General features: G+C 38.4%; 1 protein-coding gene and 1 pseudogene across 24 annotated transcripts in view, besides 1 other annotated feature; one reads left to right on the forward strand and one right to left on the reverse strand.

Annotated features, from left to right (window-relative positions):
• Positions 1-18,427, forward strand: part of POLK (DNA polymerase kappa) — a 99,218-nt gene that overhangs the window by 13,957 nt on the left and 66,834 nt on the right. For 7 of the 24 annotated variants that reach the window (NR_170560.3, NR_170559.3, NM_001395893.1 and 4 more), the window contains exon 2: positions 10,098-10,234. The exons of 16 other annotated variants lie outside the window; for them this stretch is intronic. The gene's annotated coding sequence lies outside the window, so the exon portion shown is untranslated. Of the gene's footprint in view, positions 1-10,097; positions 10,235-16,841; positions 16,867-18,427 lie in introns of those variants that run through there. One more of the 24 variants, XM_054328413.1, reaches the window with a different exon arrangement.
• Positions 11,502-11,700: a silencer, noted in NCBI's record as "fragment chr5:74832057-74832255 (GRCh37/hg19 assembly coordinates)". NCBI's record gives its function as "represses an EF-1alpha promoter that drives an FKBP-Casp9 reporter gene in an ReSE screen in K562 erythroleukemia cells {active_cell/tissue: K562}" and the evidence as "EXISTENCE:reporter gene assay evidence [ECO:0000049][PMID:32094911]".
• RNU7-175P (RNA, U7 small nuclear 175 pseudogene) lies at positions 13,868-13,928 on the reverse strand (annotated as a pseudogene).

Consider the following 18,427-nt stretch of genomic DNA (forward strand, 5'->3'; position numbering starts at 1 on the left):
CAGCTTTGCCTTGAGGGCAGGCACAGTAAGGCATAACTAATGTTCCAGTACAAAACCCCCCATTATTCTGTCCAAAAGAACCAGGGGAAGGGGGCCAGTGCTACCAAAGAGTAGGGAAGGCACCCAAGAAAAGAGAGAGCCAGATAATGGAAATTCTAAATGCTGTATAATAGCTTCACCTGACTCTCTGACTTGCATAGTCTACATGCATGCCCACGGCAAATTGAGAGCAATCTGAACTGAGATCTGAGTCTCTCTCCTTACCAGACATAGAGAGTTTTCAGTTAGAATTTATTTGCCTGCTAAAACAAAAATATTAACACTCTTCAGAAAGATAAAACAGAATCTAGAGTTCTTACAACATAGCATTTACAGTATCGAGGATATAATCTAAAATTACTTGATATATGAGCCAGGGAAATGTGAACTATTTTCAAAGAAAAGACAAGTCAACAGATGGTAACCCCAAGATGATCCAGATGTTGAACTATCTGACAAAGACTTTAACACAACTATTAAAACTGTGCTTAACGAAGTAAAGAAATATGTTTGTATCATTATAAAGAAAGGAAATCTCAGCAAAAAAGGAAAATATAAAAAATCAAATGGAAACTGTAGAACTAAGAAATACAATATCTGAAATCAAAATGATGTTACTAGATGGACTTAATAGCAAAATGGAAATGACAGAGGAATTGGTCTGTCAGTTCGAAGATAGAGCAATACAAAATAACCAATATGAAGAAGAGTAAGGGAAAAAATTAAAAACAACAACAACAACAGAAAAGGAAAGTCAGGTACCTGTGGAACAACAGCAAAGGAGTAATAACAGGAGTAACAGGTAATTGAACCTCCAAAGGGAGATGAGAGAGATTATAGGAAGAGGAAGAAACAATAGTAATAGCCACAACTTTCTCAAAATAGGAAAACATACATAGAGGAACAACAATTTGAGTGATCATGGCCTTAGCAGAAATAATGGAGTCTAGAAAACAATGGAGCAACATCTTTAAAGTACTGAAAGAAAAAAGCTGTCAATTCAATTCTATATCTGATGAAGATATCTTTTGAGAATGAAGATAAAATAAAACTGGCATCTTAGGTGTAGTTGTGTATTTGGCATACTGATTAAGAATGCGGGCTCCGGAGACAGAATCTAGATTTGAGTTTCAGCCTGAGTACCTCTTGTGATCATGGGTGAATTATATAAATTCTCTAACCTCAATTTCCTTATGTGTTAAAGACACTTAAATGAAATATCTAAACTAATGAGTAGCAATGAGAGGATGCTTCTTAAGCACTTAGTATCTGCTTGGCATATGGTAAATTGTTGGAAAACATTAGTTACCATTTATATATGCATGTTTTTAGCTTTCATAGTAAATATAACCAACCTTTATAGAATTTCGTATTTTATATTTTTATCTGTTTCATTTTTGTTCAACTGTAGAGAGGTTGGCTGTATCTTGAAAAGGGAAGAGTGAGACTCCGTCTCTTAAAAAAAAGAAAAAAGAAAAGGGAAGAAACCACTGACAGTATTGTAAAAGAGAAATCACTTTTACTACTGCTTTGACTTCAGCAAAAACAAGATTTAGGAAGCTCTTATTTTCAGAAAAGGAAATGAGAGGGGAAATTTTTCTCTCTTAGAAAATAAAAAACCTCAGCACCTAATTAATAAGATTTTTACTATGTAAATTAAACTTTATCCAATCATTCTTTGTCCCATTTGGTACCCTTTTGTTTGTTTTGTTTGTCTCCTTATTTCTTTTTCAATATTTTTCATGGTATTTTAAGAGGATGATTTAAACAGAGATAAACTTCTGATTTAATGGGTTTTTTTTTTGTTTTTTTTTTTTTCTTTTTTTTTTGGAGACAGAGTCTCGCTCCGTCGCCCAGGCTGGAGTGCAGTGGCTCAATCTTGGCTCACTGCAACCTCCACCTACCAGGTTCAATTGATTCTCGTGCCTTAGCCTCCTGAGTAGCTGGGATTACAGACGTGCACCACCACAACCGGCTAATTTTTGTATTTTTAGTAGAGACGTATTTTGCCATGTTGGCCAGGCTGGTCTCGAACTCCTGGCCTCAAGTAATCCACCTGCCTCAGCCTACCAAAGTGTTGGGGATATGGGCATGAGCCACTGCACCTGGCCTAATGTGAATATTTTAAAACCTAAAACCATTTATTTTCTTTTGAAGTAAAAGGTAGAGGTATCTAAAGTAGATAAAGAGAGTCAGCTAGGTATGTGGAGTTTATCTCTCAGTCTGATTTGAGTTTTAATGTTCATAAGCATAAACCATAAGATACCCCTTTTGACTTTGTTTCTGCATTTGATATGAATGGTAGTGAAAGATATTGTGTATTAAATTTGGCTTTTTATATATAAGTCATTACATAAAAAAGTCTCCAAGGAGAATATGCTTTGTTCTATTCTCCTCTAAAAAGAATTATATAATCAAACTTTTTTTTTATTCTAGTTGTTGGAAATCTTAAGATGTAGTTTTGGCAAGGTGCAGTGGTTCACACCCCTAATCTCAGCACTGTGGGAGGCCAAGGCAGGAGGATTGCTTCAGCCCAGGAGTTCTAGAGCAGCCTGGGCAACATAGACCCTGTCTCTGCAAAAATAAATAAATAAAACAAAATTAGCTGGTTTTGGTGGTGCACGCCTGTGGTCCCAGCTACTTGAGAGGCTGCAGTGGAAGGATTGAATGACTGTACTCCAGCCTGGGTGACAGAGTGAGACCCTGTCTCAAAAAAAAAAAAAATTTATATATACACACACACACACACACACACACACACACACACACACAAGTACGTGTGTGTATATATGTATATATACATGTGTATGTGTGTGTGTATATATATAGTTTTATTCTTAGATCAACTGTTTGGACTTTACTGTTGACATACCTGCTTTTCTTCTCCGAACCTGGTAGTTTTGCTTTCACTTAAATTTTTAATTCTTTTTATAAGGTATCTCAAAATCTTTTTGGAAAGAAATAGATAACCAGGCAGGCTGATAGGTAAGAAGGTAAGAAGACCACTTGTTAAAGAATTCCATGTGTTGCTTTTAAAATGTCTGTCTTATTAAGACCAGTGCCTAAAAATTTATAGGCATAGATATTCATCACAGCATTTTTTATAATAGAGAAAATTTAGAAACAACCTAACTGCTGTCACTAGGGAGCTGTTATATGAAATATCGTTCAACCATACAGTGTAACACTGCACAGCCATTAAAAATGATATTAGAATATTGGTACTCTCAGACAAAGATTTTGAAGCAAGAAGTTAAAAGTTCAGCCATCCCCAAGTGGCCGAACTAAATTCAGATGCCCAGACACATCATGATGGCATGGAAAATTTCCCTTCATACAGTTTTAAATAAAGAAAACAGACTAGAAAACAATATGTAGGATGAAATCTACTATGTCTAAAATATATAGATGATACATTTATACTCCATGTAAGTAAAAAAATACGGAAGAAAAAATGATTATATAGTTCCATAATTATTTAAATAAAAATAATTCCATGATTAAGAGGGGAAGAAAAGGTTACAAAGCAGTATGAATAGTGTGATGTCATTTTTGTATAAAATATATGAAGAAATAGACATAGAAGAAAGTAATGAAGTATCCCAAAATATTATATTAATGATCATTCTCTCTGGATTTGTTGCATGATATATTTATTATCTTTGTTTCCCTTTTATGCATTCTGATATAAAATTTTTTGTAGCAAGCATGAACTTTTATCATTGGAATAAACATTGATGCTATATTAAAATTAGAGTGTGGTGGAGCATGGTGGCTCATGTCTATAATTCCAGCGCTTTGAAAGGCCTAGGCAGGAGGACCACATGAGGCCAGGAGTTTGAGACCAGTTTGGGCAACATAGCAAGAACTCCACTCTACCAAAAAAAAAAAAAAATTTGGGCAAGGTGGCACATACGTGTAGTCCTACCTGCTCTGGAGGCTGAGTCAGAAGGATCACTTAAGCCTAGAAGTTCGAGGTTACAGTGAGCTATGATTGTGCTGCCGCACTCCAACCTGGGTGACAAAGCAAGATCCTGTCTCTTAAACAAAAATAGAGAGAATTTAATGAAATAGATGTTATAAAATGTAAAGTTTTGTATTTTCATGACATTAAGTGAATACAATTATCCCTTGGTATCCATGGGGGATTGGCTCCCAGACCTCCCACAGACACCAAAATCCACGATTGCTCAAGTCCCTGATATAAAATGGCATAGCATTTACATATAACCTTTATATAGTATTCCATAGACTTTAAATCATCTGTAGATTCCTTAGAATACCTAATTGTGTTAGTCCATTTGCATTGCTTTAAAGGAATATCTGAGACTGGGTAATTTATAAAGAAAAGAGATTTATTTTGACTCATGGTTCTGCAGGCTATATAGGAAGCATGGTGCCAGCATCTGCTCCTGGTGAGGGCCTCAGGAAGCTTCCAATCATGGTAGAAGGCAAAGGGGAGGCAAGCACATTACATGGAGAGAGCAGGAGCAAAAGAGAGAGGGGGGAGGTGCCACACTCTTTTTAACAACCAGATCTCTTGTGAACTCAGAGCAAGAACTCACATATTACCACAAGGAGGGCACTAAGCCATTCATGAGGGTCATAGGTCATGACCTACCCCCATGACCCAAACACCTCCCACTAGGCCCCACTCCAACATTGGGGATCACATTTCAACATGAGATTTGGAGAGGAACACACACATAAAAACCATGGATGCATGGTTTGGATGCTGTATAAGTAATTGTTATACTGTTACATAGTATATGCTATACAAATAGTTGTAAATGCTGTATAAATAGTTGTTATACTATTGTTTAGAGAATAATGAGAAGGAAAATTGTCTGTACATGTTCAGTACAGATTTTTTAAAAAAATTTTTTATATAGAGTGTGTTGAATACACAGATGTGGAACCCATGGATATGAAAGGCCAAGTACACAGATTATAATCTTGTAATATATATATAAACATATCAAAATGTATACTGGAGTATATAGAGATCTTTTAGATTGAAATAGTATAAAAAATACTTAATACATTTCACTTGTATAAGTACATACATATAATTGAATATAAACATGTACATATAGATGAAATTGTACCCTTCATATCCAGTCTTACATTCCAGGAGATACAATAGAACTATCAGCACAAATTTTGCAGTAAATCTTAGTTGACTCAAATTCACATGAAATGGCTAACAACAACAAAAACTTTCCTTTTTTGAATAATGCTTTCCCTTTACTTTCCCTTTTCCTTTAAGTAGAAATATAGGGCCCTTTTTACTTGATAGTTGATTTTTCAGTTTTTAGGTTAGGTAATGTCTGGTGAAAAGCTGTTTTAGATGCTATGATTATTGAAGGAATTACCCTTTGGATTACTGGGAAGATCTCCAGTTGATCCAAAATGTATTTTTCTTTATGTTTCTCACATTTCAGGGTATTCAAAAAGCTGAATCTATTTGTATTTCTTTTTTTTTTTTTTTTTTTTTTGAGATGGAATCTTGCTTTGTCACCCAGGCTGGAGTGCATTGGCACGATCTAGGCTCACTGCAACCTCCACCTCCCAGGTTCAAGCAATTCTCCTGCCTCAGCCTCTTTGTATTTTTTTTTCCCTTTTTCTTTTTTTTTTTTTTTTTTTTTTTTTTGAGTTGGAATCTCACTTTGTCATCCAGGCTGGAGTGCATTGGCATGATCTAGGCTCACTGTAACCTCCACCTCCCAGGTTCAAGCGACTCTGTCAGCCTCAGCCTTGGATAATTGTATTACCTTATCCAAGGTACCTACTAAATACATACCTCAGTTTCCTCATCTCTGATGAATATTATATCATGCATGTAAAATACTATAAGAGCCAAATGTTAACTTTTACAATTATTGTGTTTGTAAAAACTTAACTGATATATTGTTATTAATTTTATTTTTATCTGTATATTAGTCTGTTCATTCATTAAACACACATTTAATAATTAACAGGTCTAATGGCCTAGCACTGTAGCAGTTTTTGCCCTCTTGAAATTTTTTTCTTTTCTTTTCTTTTTTTTTTTTTTTGAGTTGGAGTCTCGCTCTGTTGCCCATGCTGGAGTGCCGTGGCGCGATGTCCGCTTGCTGCAAGCTGCCTCCCAGGTTCATGCCGTTCTCCTGCCTTAGCCTTGCGAGTAGCTGGGACTACAGGTGCCTGCCACCATGCCCGGCTAATTTTTTGTATTTTTTTAGTAGAGACGGAGTTTCACCGTGTTAGCCAGGATGGTCTCGATCTCCTGACCTCGTGATCCTCCTGCCTCGGCCTCCCAAAGTGCTGGGATTACAGGCGTGAGCCACTGCACCCAAACCCCTCTTGAAATTTATATTTTAGTTGAAATATAACTAAAATGAAAATGTTTTTTTTCCTCGAACAGGTTCTACGGGAAAAAGTTTTTTGGCATCAATTATTCTGTTGATCAGTTCATTACTGTGCTTTAAATTCTTACCATCATTCAAATGAAAACAATATATATAGTATATTGTTTATATACTATGTATAAACAATATACTATATATATTTAGTATATAGTATATAGCTATTTACACCAGTATATAGTATATAGCTATATAGTATATAGCTACCAGTATATAGCTATTTACACCAGTATATAATATATAGCTATTTACACCAGTATATAGCTATTTACACCAGTGCTACCCAAAATGTGGGCTGTGGACCAGTGCTTATCCATATGAGATAATTATAAAACTTGAGGCTGGGTGTGGTGGCTCACGCCTGTAATCCCAGAAGTTTGGGAGTCCAAGGCAGGTGGATCACGAGGTCAGGAGTTCAAGACCAGCCTGGCCAAGATGGTGAAACCCCGTCTCTACTAAAAATACAAAAATTAGCCAGGCGTGGTGGTGGGCACCTGTAATCCCAGCTACTTGGGAGGCCGAGGCAAAGAATAGCTTGAACCTGGGAGGTGGAGGTTGTAGTGAGCTGAGACTGTGTCACTACACTCCAGCCTGGGTGACAGAGCAAGACTCTGTCTCAAAAAAAAAAATAAGAAAGTAAGCTGTAAACTTATCTCATACTTTCTGAGGGTCAAGGATATGAGCACAGCGTAGTTAAATGTCTCTGGCTCATGAAGGTCCAGTCAAGTTATTATCTAGGGCAGTATTCTTATTTGAAGATTTGACTAGAGGAGGATCCACTTCTATGGTCACTCACATGACCTCCTCACAGGGCTGTCTCACATGGCACCTGGCTTCCCCAGAGTTAGTAATCCAAGAGAGAATAAGAACATCTAAGATGGAAGTCCCATTCCATTATAAACCATTTTTGATTTTTTGTTTTTTAACTTTTATTTTAGGTTCAGGGGTACATGTACACATTTATTATATAGGTAAATTGCATGCCATGGGGTATGGTGTACAGATTGTCACCCAGGTAATAAGCATAGTACCTGATATGTAGTTTTTCAATCCTCTCCCTCCTCCCACCCTCCACCCTCAAGTAGGCTCCAGTGTCTGTTGTTCCCTTCTTTGTGTACTCAAAGTTTAACTGCCACTTATAAATGAGAACATGCAGTGTTTGGTTTTCTGTTTCTATGTTAGTTTGCTTAGTATGATGACCTCCAGCTCCATCCATTTTGCCTCAAAGGAGATGATCTCATCCTTTATTATGGCTATATAGTATTCCTTTGTGTATATGTACCACTTTTTTTTTTTTAAATCCAGTCTACCATTAATGGACATTTAGGTTGATTCCATGCCTTTGCTATTGTGAATAGCGCTGCAATGAACAAGCACATGCATGTGTCTTTTATGGTAGAACGATGTATATTCCTTTGGATATATACCTAGTAATGGCATTGCCAGGTTGAATGGTAATTCTGTTTTAAGTTCTTTGAGAAATTGCCAAACTGCTTTCCACAATGCCTGAACTAATTTACATTCCCACCAGTAGTGTATGAGTGTTTCCTTTTCACTACAACTTTGCCAGCATCTGTTATTTTTTGATTTTTTAAAAATCACAATTCTGACTGGTGGGAGGTGATATCATTGTGATTTTGATTTGCAGTTCTCTAATGATAAGTAATGTTGAGCATTTTTTCATATGTTTGTTAGCCACGTGTATGTCTTCTTTTGAAAAGTATTTGTTCATGTTTTTGCCCACTTTATAATGGGGTTATTCTTTTTTTGCTTTAAAATTTTGTTTCAGTTCCTTACAGATGCTGGATATTAGACCTTTCTTGGATCCGTAGTTTGCAGAAATTTTCTCCCGTTCTGTAGGTTCTTTTTATTCTGTTGACAGTTTCTTTTGCTGTGCAGAACCTCTTTAGTTTAATTAGGTCCCACTTGTCAGTTTTTGTTTTTGTTGTAATTGCTTTTGGCATATTCATCATGAAATCTTAGCCAAAGCCTATGTCCAGAATGTTATTTCCTAGGTTATCTTCCAGGGTTTTTATGGTTTTAGGTTTTACATTTAAGTCTTGAATCCATCTTGAGTTGATTTTTGTGTATAATGTAATAAAAGGATCTAGTTTCAGTCTTATGGATGTGGCTAACCAGTTATCTCAGCACCATTTATTGAATAGGGAGTTCTTTCTCCATTGCGTGTTTTTGTTGATTTTGTCAAATATCAAATGATTGTAGGCATGTGGTTGTACTTCTCAGTTCTCTATTCTGTTCCATTTGTCTGTGTGTCTGTTTTGTACTGCTACCGTGCTGTTTTGGTTACCATATCCTTGTAATATAGTTTGAAGTCTGGTAATGTGATGCCTCCAGCTTTGTTCTTTTTGCTTAGGGTTACCTTGGCTATTCGAGCTCTTTTTTGGTTTCATAGGAAATTTAAAATAGTTTTTTCTAGTTCTAGGTTTGTGAAGAGTGTCCTTTGTAGTTTGATGGAAATAGCGCTGAATCTGTAATTTGCTTTGGGAGCATGACTATTTTAACAATGTTGATTCATTCTATCCATGAGCATGGAATATTTTTCCATTTGTTTGTGTTATCTCTGATTTCTTTGAGCAGTGTTTTTTAATTCTCATTGTAGAGCTATTTCACCTCCCTTTCAATACCTAGTTAGATATTTTATTCTTTTTGTGGCTATTGGGAATGGGATTGCATTCCTGATTTGGCTGTCAGCTTGGAGGTTGCTGGTGTACAGGAATGCTACAGATTTTTGTACAATGATTTTGTATCCTGAAGCTTTGCTGAGGTTTATCACATCAAGGAGCTTTTGGAGCTGGGCGTGGTGGCTCATGCCTATAATCCCAGCACTTTGGGAGGCCAAGGCAGATGGATCACTTGAGGTCAGGAATTCAAGACCAGCCTTGCCAACATGATGAAACCCCATCTCTACTAAAAATACAAAAATTAGCTGGGCATGGTGGTGCATGCCTGTAGTCCCAGCTACTCAGGAGGCTGAGGCAGGAGAATCACTTGAACCTAGAAGGCAGAGGTTGCAGTGAGCTGAGATTGTGTCACTGCATTGCAGCTTGGATGACAGAGCGAGACCCTGTCTTAAAAAAAAAAAAAAAAAGCTTTTGGGCTGAGACCATGAGGTTTTCTAGGTACAGAATTATATTGTCTGCAAACAGGGATAGACTGACTTGGATTGGGTTTCGACTGTCTCCTGTATGTCGATGATCTTTGTTCCTATCCATATTCAGGGATGATGAGTTTGGTTCTTTCATATAATGGCATTTGGTCTATTACCTCCTGTACTGTTTTATTGTAATCCTTAGATTTCTTGGATTGGGTTCTGTCCAAATATGTTTGTTAGTTTGTTGCCTCAATGATATGTCTAATATTATCAGTGGGGTGTTACAATCTCCCACCATTATTGTGTGGTTATCTAAGTTTCTTCATAGGTCTCTAAGAACTTGATTTATGAATCTTGATTTATGCACTCCTATGTTGAGTGCATATATATTTAGAAAAGTTAGGTCCTTTTGTTGAATTGAGCCCTTAACCATTATGTAATGTCCCTCTTTGTCTTTTTTGATCTTTGTTTATTTAAAGTCTGTTTTGTCTGAAATTACAATAGCAATCCATGCTTTTTTCTGTATTCTGTTTGCTTTGTAGATTTTTCTTCATCCCTTTACTTTGAGTCTGTGGATGTCATTGCATGTGATATGGGTCTCCTGAAGACAGCATACCATTGGATTTTGCTTCTTTATCCAAGTTATCATTCTGTCTTTTAATTGGGGTGTGCATTCAAGGTTAGTATTGATGTGTGCGGATTTGATGCTGTCATGTTGTTAGTCGGTTATTATGAAGACTTGTTTGTGTTGCTGTTTTGTAGTGTCACTGGTCTGTGTAGTTAAATGTGCTTTTGTAGTGGCCAGTAACAGTCTTTCCTTTCCATAGCTAGCACTTCCTTCAGGACCTCAGTAAGGCAGGTATAGTGGTAACTAATTCAATTACCACTTACTTGTCTGAAAAGGATCTTATTTCTCCTTCATTTGTGAAGCTTGGTTTGGCTGGATATGGAATTCTTGGTTGAAAATTTTTTTTTAAAGAATGCTGAATATAGGTCCCCAATCTCTTCTGGCTAATAAGGTTTCTGCTGACAAGTCTGCTTGTTAGCCTAATGGGGCTCCCTTTGTAGGTGCCCTCCCTCTTCTTTCTAGCTGCCTTTACATTTTTTCTTTCAGACCGTGGAGACTCTGATGACTATGTGCCTTTGGGATGATCTTGTGCAGTATTTCACAGGGGTTCTCTGCATTTCCTGAATTTGAATGTTGGCCTCTCTAGCAAAGTTCATGACAATTTCATGGACAATATCCTGAAATATGTTTTCCAAGTTGCTTACTTTCTCTCTCTCTCTTTTAGGGATGCAAATGAGTCATAGATTTGGTCTCTTTACATAATCACATTATTTCTTGGAGGTTTTGTTCAGTCTTCTTTATTGTTTTTTCTTTATTTTTGTGTGACTGGGTTATTTCAGAGAGCTACTCTTCAAGCTCTGAGATTCTTTCCTTACCTTGGTGGATTCTGCTGTTAATACTTGGGATTGCATTTTGAAACTCTTCTGATGTGTTTTTCATCTCTATCAGATGAGTTTGGTTCTTTCATATAATGGCCATTTGGTCTATTACCTCCTGTACTGTTTTATTGTAATCCTTAGATTTCTTGAATTGGGTTTTGACTGTCTCCTATATGTCAGTGATCTTTGTTCCTATCCATATTCTGGATTCTGTCTCTGACATTTCAGCCTAGTTAAGAACCATTGCCTGGGAACTAGTGTGGTCGTTTGGAGGTAAGAGGACACTCTGGCTTTTTGAGTTGCTAGAGTTCTTGTGCTGGTTCTTTCTCATTTGTGTGGGCTCATATTCCTTCAGTTTTTGATGTTGCTGTCCTTTGGATGGATTTTTTTGCTTTTCTCTTCTTTGATGCCCTTGGGGATTTGATTATGGTATAAGGTGGATTCAGTTGATGAACTTTGATTCTAGTCTGTTCCTGGGTCTTGGAGGAGCGCTCTCTGATTACTTTCTCTGTGCCTACATTTTTTGGGGGGTGTTCTGGTCCACAGGGCTTCCTCAGTCAGGTTCCTCAGTTGGCAGAGAGGCTGCATTCTTGCAACATCAGCCCTAATCTGCTATCTGTGTGCTTCCTGGGGAAACATGAGGTTGTGCCTGCCTGCAGAGTTCAGGTGGAAGTGGGAACCCTGGATTGGAAGTTCTCGTAGATGTGGCCCATCTGGCTACAAGAGGCAGGGTGGGTTGAATTGCCTGCTCTGCCATCTGGGTGTTTCCATGGCAACAGGAGGCTGTACCCCCGGCAAATTCAGGCAGAAGCAGGACCACTGGGCCAGAAGCTCTAGCAGGCATGGCTCACCTGGCTACCAGTGGTGGGGGTGGGTGGAGGCACCCACCCTGCCCCCTGGGTGTTTGCTGGGACAATAGTAGGCTGTGCCTACCAGCTGAGTTGCCATAGAAGCAGGACCCCTGGGCCGGAAGCTCTAGCATGTGTTGCCCCCCAGCTACCAGAGGCAGGGATGGGCAGGGTGACATGCTGTCTTGTCTGGGTGTTTACTGGGACAACAGGAAGCTGAGCCCTCCTGCTGAGTTCACACAGATGTGGAGCTGCTGGGCTGGAAGCTCTCACAAGCATTGCTTGCCTGGCTACCAGTGACGGGGGCGGGTAGGGTCATGTAGTTTGCTGTCCCAGCATTTCTTGGGATGACAGAAAGCTGCATCCTTCAGCTGAGTTCACACAGAAGCAGGACTGCTGGGCTAGAAGCTCTAGCAAGCATTGTCTGCCTGGCTACCTGTGGCAAGGGTAGATGGAGTGGCCAGCCAAATTCTGGCTGAAGCAGGACCACTGGGCTGGAGGCTGTTGCTGAGCCCCATCCAGCAAGGAGTAGTGGAGAAATCTTACTGCTTTCAGGCACTGCAGTGGCGGCCTCTATTGAGGCTATAACACTGGTGCTGATCTGCTCCGGGGCGCAAAGCTTGTAGAGGTGCCCTTGGGCTTCAGAATTGCCTCCACCAAACATCTCAGTGGCTCTGCCTCAGTCTAGAAGCATGGGGGTGGGGGGCACAGGGTGGTCAGGGGGAATCTCCCATTCCCAGTCTTGCACAGGTTTCTGTGGAAAGTGTGAATCCCCCTGGGGGCTCTCACTCACCGTTTGCGGTGTTGGTTAGGTTCTCCTGGCTCTGTGCTCAGCCCAGACAAGCTGGTGCCCACCTTCATTCCTCCGTGCTCTCTGTGTTTCCCTGCTGCCTTGATAGATCTCAACGTTGTTTCTCAGATGATCAGCTTGCAGGGTCAGTGTTCAGTAGCCCTTTTGCTTATTCTCTGTGAGAGCAATGCGCATGAGCTGCTTCTAGTCTGCCATCTTGGCCCCCCTAACCTAACCCATTTTTAGATGTTACATTCCATCACTTCTACTTCTGCTATAATCTATTTGTTAGAAGCAGGTCACTTAATTACACATTATGGCATTAGTTTGTTGTGCCTTTTGTGCTTTTCCTAGCATCTGTGAAGTATTATTGAAAGTATTTTAGTAGTGTTAGGAAATGTGTATTTTATAATAATTATTTTAGTAGTGTTAGAAAATGTATATTTTATTTGCAGTTCAAATTTTGTTTTTTTTATTTTTTTATTTTTATTTATTTATTTTTTTTGAGACGGAGTCTTGCTCTGTCGCCCAGGTTGGAGTGCACTGGCGCAATCTCGGCTCACTGCAAGCTCTGCCTCCCGGGTTCATGCCATTCTCCTGCCTCAGCCGCCCGAGTAGCTGGGACTACAGGCACCTGCCACCACACCTGGCTAATTTTTTGTAGTTTTAGTAGAGACGGGGTTTCACCATGTTAGCCAGGATGGTCTCGATCTCCTGACCTTGTGATCCACCCGCCTCGGCCTCCCAAAGTGCTGAGATTACAGGCTTGAGCCACCAGGCCCAGCCTCAAATTTTATTTTTTAGTGTACTTTGTAGTATAGAAATAAGTACTTCATATGCTGGAGGTAGCTGTTAACATTTTATGAATTTTCATAATGCTATACCATGTGCACATTTTTTAAAGTCTTCTTAAAATAAACAGCATATTTGGATCTCATTAATTTAAAAAAGTTACCAGTAAGTCTGGACTGCTTTTTCTTTTATGAAAAAAATTAAGCTAACTTAAACCACATATTAAGCTAACATAAACCACATATTGTGATAGTTTGATGAACTAATCTAGCTCGGTGTTTTGCAATGTTTTTTAACTCATGCTTTCTTTCATAAACCTTCCATTAGTGTTTTTTGAAACTTCAAAAAAAATAAATGTTACTAAATACAAACCAAGTTATAGTATCTCAGAGGAGAGAGAGATATCATCTCATCAATTTTTTTTGGCAGGGGTGGTGGGAGCTTTCTGGTGAAGACCGGAAAACCTGTTAGACAAATTCTGAAAAACTGTAACATTCATCTCATCAATTGAGAATAATTATTTTTACTAATTTAGTGTAAATCCTAGATGCCGTTGTTTATTATCAGATGCTTTTTATATAATATGTGTTTAAGTGGTTTTATTTTTTTTTTATTTATTTATTTTTGAGATGGAGTTTTGCTCTTGTTGCCTAGGCTGGAATGTAGCGGCGCGACATCAGCTCACTGCAACCTCCACTTTCCAAGTTCAAGCAATTCTCCTGCCTCAGCCTCCTGAGTAGCTGGGATTACAGGCATGTGCCACCATGCCCAGCCAATTTTTTGTATTTTTAGTAGAGATGAGATTTCATCATGTTGGCCAGGCTGGTCTCAAACTTCTGACCTCAGGTGATCCACCCGCCTCAGCTTCCCAAAGTGCAGGGATTACAGGCATGAGCCACCGTGCCCGGCCGTTTAAGTGTATTTTTATAGCACAGGGTTAATAATAGTTTCCAAATGGACTGTCAGTATTTTAAAAGTAAGGCTCTTTTTAACATTGTGCTCTTAAAAGAATAAAAGATTATTAAGGAAGGTATGTGATTATGTTTCTAAATCATTTTGGCTTAATCACTCCAAGACCACAACTTCTTGCTGCTTTTTTTTTTTTATCATGTTTTGGCAAGTCCCGAAGCAGTATTTTTGGGATGTTTAATTTTTTTGTTTCTGGTATTTAGGCATGTATGATATGACTAGGAAGAAAATAGAATAATGATTTTCAGAGCTGATTTGCTATGGAAACCATCTTTTAAAATTCATCAATATTAAACAACTGTTATTGCGGTCTTTGAGTTGGTAACAATCGCAATGTATGTTAGTGTTCACACAAATATTTCTTTTTCTTTCTTTTCTTTTTTTTGAAACAGGGTGTCTCTGTCACCCAGACTGGAATGCAGTGGCACTATCATGGTTTACTGCAGCCTAGACCTACTAGGCTTCAGAGATACTCCCACTTCAGCCTCCCACGTTTAATTTTTTTTTTATAGAGACAGGCGTCTTACTCTCTTGCCCAGGCTGGTCTCAAACCCCTGGGCTCAAGCAATCCTCCTGCCTTGGCTCCCCAAAGGGCTGGGATTATAGGCATAAGCCACCACACCCTACTTGCATAAATATTTCTAAGGAATTTGGAGAGTCAAATAAATGAAGTTTACTATGAGCTTTCCCCTTTTTGTAGGTTACCCATTTATTCTTTTAAATTAGTGATAGAATACATATGAAGAAATTATAGAAGAGCTGTAAAGTAGCATCAGTAGAACAGAGATCTAAGGAAATATTTGAGATTTTTATCTAAAATTTCATTTGAACAGGGTTATGTTGCTAAGGAGTTTTAAACCCCTGCCATACACTATTAGAGCTGTAAGAAAACTAAAAAGTCAGGAGCAGTGGATCAAGAAACAATATCAAGGTTAGAACTCAGAAGAAACTTAGGAGCAGTTTGGCAAAGGGGACAATTGAAAGGATCATTTTTCCAGGACAGGAAAATAATAATAGCTTATACAACTCTTTTTGATTTTATTAGATATTTTGCTTCCAATAGTGTGGAGCGTAGTGTGAAGATAAATAGCACAGTATCTCAATTTCTTATTTGTAGTGTAGCCCTATCCTATTATCCTGGCTTCTGTTGTAATTTTTTTTTTTTTTTAAAGACACAGGCTTCATCACCCTGTCTCTTAAAAACTCTTCTCTGTTGTCCAGGCTGGAGTGCAGTGGCATAACCGTGGCTGACTGCGGCTTCGAACTCCTGGGCTTAAGCAATCCTCCTGCCTCAGCCTCCCGAGTAGCTGGGACTACAGGCACATGTCAACACACCTGGCTATTTTTTTGTGTAGACAGGGTCTCACTATGTTGCCCAGGCTGGTCTTGAGTTCCTAACCTGAAATGATCCTTCCATCTTGGCCTCCCAAAGTGCTGTAATCACAACCCTGAGCCACTGCCCCTGGCCTAATTTTATATTAAAATTGTAATATTCTAGATTGTAGAGCTTAAAAAATACAGTACCAAAAAAGGTACTACAGGAGAAATGTTTTCTCGTTTTCTAAGGACATTAGTATGAACTGTCCCTTAAGACCTGTGCATTTTACTGAAACAAAATTAGTCTGTTTAGCATCACTTTTATATAGATAGGTATTTTTGCCGACATCTAGTGCCCAAAGAAACTCCCAGCCTATCTCCTTCATGTTGATTCAGCATTCCAAGAAACAATCAACTCCTATAAGATAAAAACTTAGATTTTCACACTTTTGAGTATGTTTATTTCTGAGTTAAAGTTTTCATTGTTAAAGAACCTGGAAGGCTTTTTATAAAATATGCAACTCATCATCCAAATAGAAACTTAAAAACTTGGAGGCTCGGCGCAGTGGCTCATGCCTATAATCCCAGCACTTTAGGAGACAGAGGCGGGCAGATTACCTGAGGTCAGGAGTTTGAGATCAGCCTGAACAACATGGAGAAACCCCGTCTCTACAAAAAATACAAAATTAGCCAGGCGTGGTGGTGCATGCCTGTAATCCCAGCTGCCCAGCTACTCGGGAGGCTGAGGCAGGAGAATCGCTTGAACCTGGGAGGCGGAGGTTGCCGTGAGCCGATATCGCACCATTGCACTCCAGCCTGGGCAACAAGACTGAAACTCTGTCTTCTGTCTCAAAAAAAAACCAAAAAACAAAAACAAAAACTTGGGGCTTGGGGAATTGACCTTTGAATTGACACTGTAGGTAATATGTTTATATCAGAATATTATTCATCCTGTCGAAAGAAGATAATTTCCACTTATTGTTCTATAAGAATGAATTTAATGTCTTTAGGATGAAGTAGAGTATAGATTTTTAAATTTCCCTCTGTCCCATTCTTCTTCACTAGAACCAATTAAATGAATAAAAAAAGGAGAAAGGCAGTAGAAGAGAATACATGCATGGTTCTCACAAGGCAGGCCTTCTGTCTCTGGTAAAAAACTTGAGTTTTAGTGTATATACTCTTGGTTTAGGATCTGTGGAATTTCATTATTTCTGTTCTTTCTCTCAGTGACACATGTAAATGAGAAAATCATTCAAATCCAGTCTAAAATAATTTTTAAAGTTTTTTCCTCTTGTTTTGCAAAAATATTAAAAGCTAAAGCTAAAAATTCAAAGTTGCACCTATACTTTCATTTTTGTCATACAAAAATTGTGGCCATATGGTTTCAGTGTATGTTTTCATGTATCTGTATGTAAAATAATTGAAGAACATGGAAAAATAATCTGTTAAAGTCTTGAATTGTGATTTTTTATTTTCTTGAAATTTCAAAAAGTATTTTTGCAATAAATGAAAATGAAAAAGGAAATTTTAAAGTAGATCATATAAGATGTATTGGTTTGAAAATTACTACTTTAAATGTAGAGTAATATCCCTAATTCAATTCATTGTATTTAAATTTATAGAGAATAACGAGCATTTAATCACATTCTGAAATTTTGTGCTGGGTGCTAAATCTGTTCAAAGTATTAAATATTTGAATATTTGGGAGATTCAAAATAGTATTTGTCCTTAAAGTATATAAAGGTTTTCTGAGGAAATTATTGCATTTGGTTATTTATAGTATATTAGAAATAGGAAACAAGCTCCACCTAGGAACTTACTGTAGTTTAGCCTTTCGTATTCATACTTCTCTCTCTCTTCCCGCCACCTCTCTCTCCCTCACTCTCCCTTTCCCCCATCCCCTGTCTCCTCCCCTTCTCTCTTATTACTTTTGGTATATTTTGCATATTTTCTGGTAGATTAATTCCAGGTGACTTTGATCACAGTGTGGTTTTTTATATAGCTTTGTTTACCTCTTATAGGTGGGAGGAGGCCTACCACACTAAAACTTTTTCCTTAGAATTCTTTCTTAAAAATTCTAAGTTTCCATCTTTATTACCACCAAAAACAAAAGTTTGCCTTATATGTGTGGGTATATATATGTGTGTGTGTGTATATACACATATACACATATATATACACATATATACACATATACATATATACACATATATATATACACATATATACATATATATACATATATGTATATATATGTATTTTTTTTTTGAGGCGGAGTCTTACTCTGTCGCCCAGGCTGCAGTGCAGTGGCGTGATCTCGGCTCACTGCAACCTGGCTCACTGCAACCGCCACCTCCCAGTTTCAAGCAATTCTCCTGCCTCAGCCTCCTGAGTAGCTGGGATTACAGGCATCTGCCACCGCGCCCAGCTAATTTTTATATTTTTAGTAGAGATGGGGTTTCACCATATTGGCCAGGCTGGTCTCGAACCCCTGACCTCGTGATCCACCCACCTCGGCCTCCCAAAGTGCTGGGATTACAGGTGTGAGCCACCGCGCCCAGCCTTATTTATTTATTTATTTATTTATTTATTTATTTATTTATTTATTTTTGAGACGGAGTCCCATTCTGTCTGGCCCAGGCTGGAGTGCAGTGGTGTAGTCTTGGCCCACTGAAGCCTCTGCCTCCCAGGTTCAAGCGTTTCTCCTGTC

Source organism: Homo sapiens, chromosome 5 (genome assembly GCF_000001405.40).
Source record: "Homo sapiens chromosome 5, GRCh38.p14 Primary Assembly".
In the NCBI taxonomy this organism is placed as follows: Eukaryota; Metazoa; Chordata; class Mammalia; order Primates; family Hominidae; genus Homo; species Homo sapiens.